The 10,686-nt window shown below is 35.5% G+C and overlaps 1 annotated feature.

Annotated features, from left to right (window-relative positions):
- Positions 3,501-4,002: an enhancer, noted in NCBI's record as "NANOG hESC enhancer chr2:84091690-84092191 (GRCh37/hg19 assembly coordinates)". NCBI's record gives its function as "activates a minimal SCP1, AML or CMV promoter by ChIP-STARR-seq in primed H9 embryonic stem cells {active_cell/tissue: H9 hESC(primed)}" and the evidence as "EXISTENCE:reporter gene assay evidence [ECO:0000049][PMID:30033119]".

A 10,686-nucleotide genomic window follows, 5' to 3' on the forward strand; every position in this document is an offset into this window, starting at 1 on the left:
CTTGTTTAACATACACTTGAGGAAGTTGTAACATTCTATTTTGCATGCACACTAATTAGAGTAATTTCTGTCCACCCAGCATTTTAAAAGACTTCTCAATGCCTGAAAGTCATTTTCCTCATCATCGTTATCTGGCAAAGACACATAGCAGTTGACCAATAAATATAGATCGACTTCATGATCAGAAAAATATCTTTGCCCTTTTTTATGCATTCAAATTTTATTAGTAATTGTAGTTTTAGCTGAATAGTGCACACGCAGGAAAAAATCTATACTTTAAGAATATTCACTACCTAATTAGAATGCCTCCTCACTCCAACCAGTGGCATAAATGTCATATCTTCATATTTAATATCCCTATTTCTTTTCTATGTGTGCACATACATAATTTTTCAAATAAATTTGATCTATCTCATGGTGCAAAGTGTAACTATTTCTAATTAGTTTGATCAAAGATACCATAGTCAGTGCTGAGTAATGGAAATTATGCCAATAAAAATTCTATTGCTTCTGACAAGGGGAAAAATGACCATACATTGATTCAGCCCTCCCAGCCTTCCAGAAAAACATTTACATGTGATGTTTTTATAAGGGCACATAAATGTCTATATAGTCACAGTTTGTAATATTCCTAAATGCCCTGCAGCAGAAGCAGCAGGAGAGGAAGCTATTTCTGCTGACTCTTTTATTATCTGTGCCATTTTCCACTCTAGACTATCGCAACTTTAACTCTTGCACTCTCTGTAAGGTTGGATGGGGCAAACAAAGAAATGGACTGACCATAAGGAGATCCAGTATTGCTCTCTTATGTGATGTTGCATTCTGGAGATCTTGATGTCTGAAAAAAAAAAACAGAATATCTTTACCAAATAATGGCTTATGAGTATTTGTTGAGGGAAGGAAGTAAACTAACATGATTATTAAGTATATAACATTTGTGGGAAAGTCAGTGGAAATGAGCTGAAGTCAAGTATCTAGGTTCAGATCAAGAAATGACTGATACTTCCAGAGTATCAGAGACTGGGAACAAAACAAATTTTAAAAGGGACTACCTACAGCAGGTATGGAGCAGAAATATATATAGTTACTGCATAAGATGCCTTTTGGAGATCAATAATAAGACACAGTCTAAACAAACAGGTTCTGGGAGGGACTGAGGTTTCACCAGCCTTGGCGGTTACCTTTGCAGCCAGAACTATCTGAGTTCAAATCCTTCTGTTAGGTATCATACAATTTTCATCAGGTGTGTCAGGTGTGCTGAATCTTAGTTTCTTCATCTAGAAAAGATGTCAAGCAAAGTACCATGCATATGAGAGATGCCTCATAAATGAAAGATTTTTTGTCTTCTTTCCCCTCATATTTACTAATTTTTTATTCAATAAATAATTAATGAGGATGAACTGATTTCAATGAGATGGGAAACAGACATCTACAGTTCAAATGTAATCCCTTTTTATATAAAGCTTGTAGTCTGATGAATAAGTTAGAAACTGATAACATAATTATCAAGTAAATATTAACTTGCAATTCTTATATCATGTATTAAAGGAAAAAAACAGAGTGGTGTACCAGGGACCTAAGTCTGAGTTTTCACAGAAGACTTCCTTGCAGCATTGGCATTTATGGCAAGATAAGAAGCATAAATAAGACTAAGCAAGGGAAAAACTTTCCAAAGTAGAAACCAGAGCCTATGTGAAAGCCTAGAATCCTAAAGCATTTTGGCAGGTCTTAGGAACAGATAAAAGGTCAGGATGGATGTAGCATAAAAAGCGGAAGTGCAAACTGCATGAGATAAGGCAGAAATGGTAGGCAGGTTATGCATGTATTAATTGCATGAGTTTTAATAATTACATGTAAAACTATGAGATTTTATTCTTACTGTAGTCGGAAGACTCTAAAAGTAACTAAATTAGAGAGTAATGTGATCAAGCTTTTATTTAAAAAGTACATTATTCTAGCTATCTGGTAGATAATCATAAAAGCACAAATTAATATGTGGGGAAAATTTTTAGAAGCCTTTTCTTATATTTAGGTGAAAGTTGATGACAGTTTGGAATGAAATGACAGTAAGAGGCAAAAATTTCAGTAATAGTTTTGATACGTAAGAGACTTGAAAAAATTGTGTTTGATTGAATATTGGGGCTATAATGGGGAGAAGGTGGAAATAACATCCATAGATAATTTTCAAAAAGTTATTACTGTGAAGAAAGCTGAGAAGTAGATCATAGCTTAAAGGAAATGCTGGGACTAAGAAGTCTTCTTGTTATTGTTTCAGTTGTGGTTTCTAACTTGGAAACCTTATGGCAAGCCTATGGACTGATATATACAGAGGTGTATATTCAATATGCAGAAGAGAAAAAGGAATACTTGAAAAAAACAAAGTCTTTAAAAATGTGGGATGGGCATCCAAACACCAGAAGGTGTTCCAGCTTATTCACTTGAAAAGGAGGGGAACTAGATAGGAAGAGTGAAGATGAACATCAGGTGGACGGACATCCAGCAGTGTGAAGATGAGACAACTCCTGAATTAGCTGAGAGTAGAGGGCAAAGGATGGGTTTTAAGTAGTTGGAAGAATGAGACAAAACATGGATGGTTTAAGATTATAGGAAAACAAACCTCCTAGAGAAGTGAAATGATATTTCCAAGCCATATTGTTACCACATTCAATTTTTGGTGATGAATTTAAATTGGGACCAGTCTTTATGGGTTTAACCAGGGTTAGAATTTGTCAGGAGATTTTTTTGTTTGTTTCCCATGGACTTAAGGATATTTACAATGAGGTGATAAATATGATGGACTGGGGAACCTAAGCCAGGTAAAGAGGGTGGCAAAAACATGAGAGGAATAATAGAATAAAAGGTTTTATGAGTAAAGTTTGCGATCCTCAATAAGTTCAAGAAAATGTTAGAGTGGGAGATGTGCAGCACTAGGCCGTAAGATCGGGTGGAAATAACCAGATATCAACAATTGCGTATTTCCTGCTGATGACATAGTCAAGAATGTGACACAGTAGGGTAGAGGAAATATTATTGGGTGAGAAGTCACGTAATTGGAAGGCCATGGATTAAAATATGTAAAGAAAATCAACACACAACATATGAAGTCTAAGGAGTTTTTACAGTAGCTAAGGAATGGAAGACATCAGTTACAAATAAACTTATAAGGAAGGACATGGGATGGCCATTTAACTTGGCCTGGAAAAAAAATAGTTCCCCAATATACTACCTAAGTCAATGGATATACCACTATACCTCAGTTACTTAAATCGATCAATCTATGAAAAACCACACATTATTCATGGGCTATTTGCTTCTTAGAAACCATGCACCCTAATCTACTTCATGTTACAATAGAAAGACTAATACAGAAAAAGAAAGTGTTTCCCAAAGTTACATCTTAAATTTTTAGGAAACTTAGGACTAAAACTCACTCGAGCTTTCTTTCTATACCGTCAAAACATTATTTCCCAATCTCACAGTGCAAATGTTTGAGGTTTTCAAAGTGGGCCAATAATACTTCCCTTTCTCTCTCCTGTCCTGAATAAGTTAGGAAAAAGAACAAATAGTAATGCAGATATGAAAAAATCATTTCATTACTTATAAAATCTAAATTATAGCAGCTTAGTCCCCAAAATTGAGCACACTCAGTATACTTATCCCAGATTTAAAAACTGCTAAGTGATAAGTCATTCACCTGAAATGAAAGAGTTGATGGAACAAAGAGAAGCCAGAAGTGTTAAACTAATTAACATCCCTTGACATGTAAAGAGCTATCAGGAGTAGAGAATTAGTATCTCCAAATACCAAAGACCTCTCTATCAGTAATGGGGAAATAAACAGAGGGAACTCCTCAAATTTGTAAATAAAGTAAATAATATTGACAATTCAAATAGGATATACCAAAAAGTAAATAATAAAAACGTACTTTAAAGAGGTGTAAGTGACTTTCAGAATCATAACCAAGTCAGAAGAGTATGCAATTCTGAAGGTGAGTGGACAGTTTTGAAAGACTGGAAGGCAGGGGGAGAATTGCAGAGATGCAAAAATGCCAGTGCCCATTTCTCTGCTATACAAGAGATTGAATACATTAGGCAAAACTCTTTTTTGAGTATTGCAGCTGTAATCTTGAAAATATCCCTTTTGACAAGGTGGATTCTACCTTCAATTTTAGCCATTGAATAACAAATCCATCTTTTAATTTTATGCTCATGATATATGATATTACATCTTATATAGTTATGATTACAGAGAGAGATTGTGCAGGATATGTTGGCTCAAGAATTTCCCACTTCTTTTATTTCCCATATGAGATCAATAAATGAGCACTTTATACAAGCACATTCATTTATGGGCTTGGTGGATGTGGGTCAACTCTAATAAGGAGAAAAACTTTCACTAAACTCTCAAAAAATATATTTCTGCCTGAGAACTAAGCCCCAAGCTAGCCTTTCTGGCCATACCTGAATAACATATACAATATTTCTATTTTAAATTTCATCATGAAATGGAATATTTACTCCACAGTATCTTACATTGAAAGCACAGACCAACTCTTTGCAGCATTAATCAATTCAATGCAGAGAATGAAGATTCAGGAACTCCAGGATCCTTATTTTACCATAGTAATTTTAATCCCATCTCCCTACTTCTTCATGGGAATGATCCACCTTGGAATTCCTTTGGCTCCTTCTTTTTCCCTATTGTCAGAATATCCCTTTTTTTTCTCAATATATTTTTCTTCTTTCACTTCCAAAAACAAAATATAGTATGTGACTTGAGGGAGGAATTTTCAGAGAGTGTGAGGCATACTGTCAATTCTATTTTTGTATACCCCAAGATGAAAGAAATCAGGAGCACATGTTGTCTCTAAGAAACTTCTCGGGCTGGTACTGATACACAGCAGTTGCATTTTTTGCTAGGTATAATTTGTTTGTATTTCCCTATGAAATCCAGTTTAAACTAAAACAATGTGCTCCTTTATGAAGAAAAATCAATCAGAAACAAACTGCTTTCAAAGTAGTAAGGAAAGTAGAATGGGAGATTGCATCCACATCGCTTTGCTTGATGGGCCAAACTTTCACAAGCTTCTGGTCATTCTTTTTACTTTTCTCCCATTGGATACATCTGAGAATTTAAAGGAAATAATAACATGATCAGAAACTCCAACCTGCTCTGGGGCAGGAAATCAAAGCCCTATATACCATTGAAAAATCCATTTGATTAATGATTGGGGAGACATCCAAGATTTGTGTACAGGCAGCAGAGCAGAGTCAGAGTGGCATGAAGAGACTAAAGGTCTGCAAGTGCTCAGGATCAAAGAAATAAGAACACCCTGCTTACCCTTGCCAGGTAATAGAGTGTGTCCTCCAGAAACACACCATGGCTATCTCAGATGCCATGTAGCCACATGGAAAGCAGTAGTGAGGATTTATGGTTTAAGTAAATTACTTTCAGAAGTCGTGTTTCGAAGCGATTAGTGTGGAACAAATAGTCTGAAAAATCTGGGGACAGAATACTTATTTCTGTAAGCAAGTCAATGGGATAAGAGACAGTGTAGCAACTTCACCTCTTAAAATCACTATTTTGCATTTGAGCTATGGTACTATAGTACAAATATCGCACTCAATACAATTAGCAATTAGATGAGTAAACACGCCCAAGCTAAAAGCAACACCCTATTTTTTCTTCTTACCAGAGAAGACACTTATTTTATAAGTAAAAGTTTGGTCAATTATAATTGAGAGCAGCAAAACAACCCTTTCCCTAATGCAAATTAAAACTGTTTTAGAGTTTCCATTAAAGTAGTCAAAAAAATCTAACCTGAGTCATCATGGCAGAATGGAGTTGTATCAGTCAGGAGAGGCCAGGTAACAACCTCAATCAGTTAGAAGAACCTAAACTAACAACCCCAAACTCTCAGTGGCTGAAAAACAAAGTTCATTTTTTTTTCTCATACCGTATGTTCATTGAGTTAGGCCAGAGACCTATACTCATTGTAGCCATTCTAGGAAACAGGATAACAGACGCTCAACAGAACTATGACATCACTCTCTCACCATGTGCTTCCTTGGTTGCAATCTCTGTGGCTGAAGATGGAAAAGCACTGGCCTATTTAATGTTCTAGTTTGAAAAATATACTCACCACTTCTACTCACATTTGCTTGGCCAGAACTATTGACCCGATCATGCCGAACTTTCAAGTGGGTGGGGAATTAGAATTCTTCCTGAACCCACATGTAAATGAGTTCAGACATTAGTGAATAATATTAGTGACTATTTGTAATACCTTCCACGATTCAGTATTCTAGTCACTACATATTTGGTTGTCTTTCAACTCCTCTCCAAGGAGGTATCCCAAAGTCCAGCACATGCATGTGATGAAAGGTGGTATTTACAACTAGTTCAGATGTGTGTCCTCTTGTTCAGGGAATTAAGAACTGAAAAACAAGCTATCTGTGTTTAATAACCCTGTATACATTGGTGAAACCAGAACAGAAAAAGAGCAATAAATTTTCATTCACTTCAGAAAGAAGAATGGGAAACATACAGTAGTCACTGGTTCATAGCAATTCTGAAGTTTCATTGAACAGGCATTATCAGGGATCCTCTATTAAGAAAATATCCTTCTGTGCCTTTTCATATTTCCTCAAATGCTTATTTTATTTCTCTCTGGTAGTAACCCTTCCGTGCTGAGTAGCCTTTCTGTTTTCAGACAGTAGTGAAATGTTACACTGCAGAGTACTGAATAGGATTTTATATGAGGCATCCTAGGTGTCAGATGAGGAGAATATAAACCACAAGCAAGGAGGAGTTAGCCCCTAATGGAATGATCTTTGACCAACAGGCAACAGGAAAAATGAAGGAATCCTCCTTTCTCTTACCCATGTACTATTTCAAAGTATGATTACAACCCTTGACCCCTTTCCAAGAACTACTTTTGGAGTAGTACATGGAAAAGAGGAAAGATAGAACATTTATGTTTGGTTGTCTTCCTTCTCCCTATTGACAAACATAAATATGTAGCAACTTAATGAAAAGAAGAGAATCAAACACTGGCCATTAAATGCTTTAGACAAGACGTGAAACTTTTCTCTCCTTCTCTCTTTTCATTCCCTAGAAAAAGTAACATGGTTATATACAACTTCAAGGGTTAAATAATTATAATTCTTCATGTGCCTGGAAGAAGAGGAGAGGAAAATGAGATGTCAGGGAAAATGAGTAACATCTACCACAGATGCCCTCAGTGTTCAGACTTTCCAGCTCTTCTCCTACCTGTGGCTCTATGCGTAAATGAGGCCAAGGTCTCCACCACCCTGGAAATGTCCTTAAGCCACTTTCCAGCATTCTGAAAGCTAAGCCTCTCTCTGTCTTCAGGGATGGATTGCTCCCATATCCACTAATATTCGGGTTAGGAACCCTTGGGACATCAAGATTCATGCTTGAAAATATTAAGAGATTTTTACAAAGCCGTAGTCATTCTGAGTTTAACATTGTTCACTCTATGAGAGAAGTGGTTCCAAGTACTGAAAAGTCAAAACAAAAAAAGCAAAACCAAACAAACAAAAAACCTCACATTTCTCAAAGTACAGTAGAACAGAATGCAAATTATTATGTTAGTATAATATTCTGCCACACTTTCAGTAGTGAAAAGAATACACAGCACGAGGTCTTACAGATCTGTGTCTAATGCTAGCTTTTATCCTATTTCCCAGCACGCTACATTCTGAAGGACAAATTTTTTAGGTCTCTACATTTTAATATTTTCACAACATTTTCTAAAAGTAGAAAATTCTTCAAATGTTCTGTGTGAACTAACCAAAAATATATAGCTATCATCACAATAAATGGTTTACCATTTTAGTTTCCTTTACTTCTTACTAAGAAAGATGCTAAGGAATAATCATTTTAGTACTTAAAAAATGTTGATTTTAGGCTATTAATTGTATTTTGTATGAAACGTAACTTATTTGTAGAAAAGTTACTAAAACTTGGTTAAAATCATTTTGGTATTCATGTTTTTATTTTCTTCTATTTTTGTTTCTTTTTCTTTTTGGATAAAAGTTTCCAACTAAGCTTAGAATATTCCCTAGGATTTTTATTTTCTGGTCACTACTGTATAGCTGGATGAAAAAGGAAACAAACATTTGCATACATACATACATATTCGTAATTACTTATAATGCTGCTTTACATTTGTATAATTTCTTAGCTTAAAAAACACATAAATATATATGATCTTATCTAATTTTCACACTCTTTAAATACCAATATAGAAATGAGAAAACTGTAGATCACTTGAGTTAAGTGGTATTTCCAATATACAGATGACATGGGTCAGATTCAGGACAAACTCAGGTTTTTAGCCTTCAAATGTAAAAGTAACTTTTTCTTTCTTTAAATTGTCTTTTTTTATTATCTGTTTGTTTTTGACCATGAAAAGATAACAGTACAAAGCCCTAGTGGGGAGAAAAAAAATTAGACAAAATCCACAATTTTTTTTTCCATGGGAAATTTAATGTCTATCTGGATAGATAAGTTGAAATCTCTAGGCCCGGGTGCTGTGGCCTGTAATCCCAGCATTTTGGGAGGCCGAGGTGGGTGGATCACCTGAAGTCAACATGGTGAAACCCCGCCTCTACTAAAAATACAAAAATCAGCTGGGTGCTGAGGCACATGCCTGTAATTCCAGCTATTCGGGAGGCTAAGGCAGGAGAATCACTTGAACCTGGGAGGTGGAGGTTGCAGTGAGCCGAGATCATGCCACTGTACTCCAGCCTGAGCTATAGAGCAAGACCCCATCTCTAAAATAAATAAATAAAATATTCTAATTTTTTAAGTGTCATTTTACATGGTCTGTGAGTAAATGCAGAAAAGCAGTAGTATTTGAAGGATTCAGAAAGATCTGTGAGATGGAGTGTGGTAGGAGATGATAAAACAAAGATAAGACACTAAGTCCTCAGAGTTCCATTGGTTCAGAAATTTGAAAACATTTTAGACATCCAGGACCATATAGACAAAGCAAGCAGTTCATGATTGTATTCAAACAATTAAAACAATTACATTTTTGGTGGACACAATGTAAAGACTAAGATGCTGCTCCTTTTAGCTCTTCTTCAAGTAAAAGAAATTGATGAAATTAATGTACAATGGCTATGGCCACAGATGCCATTTTATAATTTGTATTTCATGTACTAAAACATTAAAGAAAAAACTGTTTAAAGAAAAACACAACTTTCCTTACTGGAGCTCTGCATATACCCAAACCCTGTTCCTGAGAGGAACAGGGGAAATTTTTGTATCTATTTTGTTTCTTCCCTTATTGATTTCCAAATTTTATGTCTAAATAATATAATTATACTGTTGCGTGTTTTTTTAATTTCTTAATTTTAAACATGGTCTGTTGACTTCTGGTTGTGTTCATGGGGATGTAACTCATTCTATGTGCTTCTATTCTGTGGTTATGTTATTATTTAAGGTTAAATCAGTTATCAGGGTTTATATTATCATGACTACGTATCATTTACTGCAGAGACAAAGGGTACTATGCTTATGAGCCCTTTTCTCTTTTTCCCAATTATTAATTTTTCATTTATTTTACTTACTTAGTATTATATGTACTTACCACTTTTCCACAAATGTTTCAATATATCAACCAATCATATAGCAATACATTTCCAAAGGCTCAAACATGTTTAACAATGTATCAGGCTTTTTGTTTTCACCTTCTTCTTCCATCTACTACTCCTCAACAAGAATCTTCTTGCAGTTCTATTCCCTGACTGGTCTTGTTTGCTTTACATGAGTCCAGTTGTTCTGTCTGCCTATTGAACAACTGCTGCCCAGGGACCCCCCACCATTCTTCTGTGTTGGGTCCACTGATTCTGCATTCTTTCTTTTTATTGGTCTTGAATTATTGTCCTTTCGACTTGGCATGGAAGTCTAAATTGAAAAATAATTCCATTTCTCTTGGAATTTTGAAAGCATTATTTTATCTGTCCCTCAGGCTCTTGGAATGCTTTTATTTTAAAATTTAAGCTAACATGTTCATTTTTGAAAGCAATATCTTATTGTCTGATTATTGGTTTTCTAGCATCCTTTTCTAACAGATGTGTTATTTGTCTTCATCTCTCTGAGATATATGATTAGCTCTCTGAAATTATAGAATATTTTAAGTTTTCCTTTTGACCTCTTGTTTTTTTCCTTTGGGAATCTTTCATATTGAACGTTTTCTTAAAATGCCAATCATTCTTGACACCCCAGTTATATTTCAAGGGCTGACTGGAAGTTTTGTGTGCATGAAAATCCATATTGGAAGGACTTTCAATAAGAGATATCAGGCAAAGAACCGAATATTGGTGACTTTACCCACAAATGCCAGTTTCTCCAAAGAGGAAGCCTATAGTCTTCTGCCTGGAGCATTTTCACCTGTCCACCAGAATACCAAGAATAGAATGGAGAAAGTGGCTTCAATCCCCAACACTCAGCATGTGATATTTAGTTCTATATCTCATCCCCAACTTCTACTGTGCCTAATGGACCAGAGACTGCAGCTTTTAGCATTTGACTTTTCCGCAGAATATACCACTGGTCCTCCGTGGGTTGAGAGGAGGAATTATTGACTGTGTTTGGGTAGACCTATCAAACAACTCCCTGTTTTAGCTATTTTTTCATGCTCATCTTCTGTAG

The sequence above is a fragment of the Homo sapiens genome, chromosome 2 (genome assembly GCF_000001405.40).
Source record: "Homo sapiens chromosome 2, GRCh38.p14 Primary Assembly".
In the NCBI taxonomy this organism is placed as follows: Eukaryota; Metazoa; Chordata; class Mammalia; order Primates; family Hominidae; genus Homo; species Homo sapiens.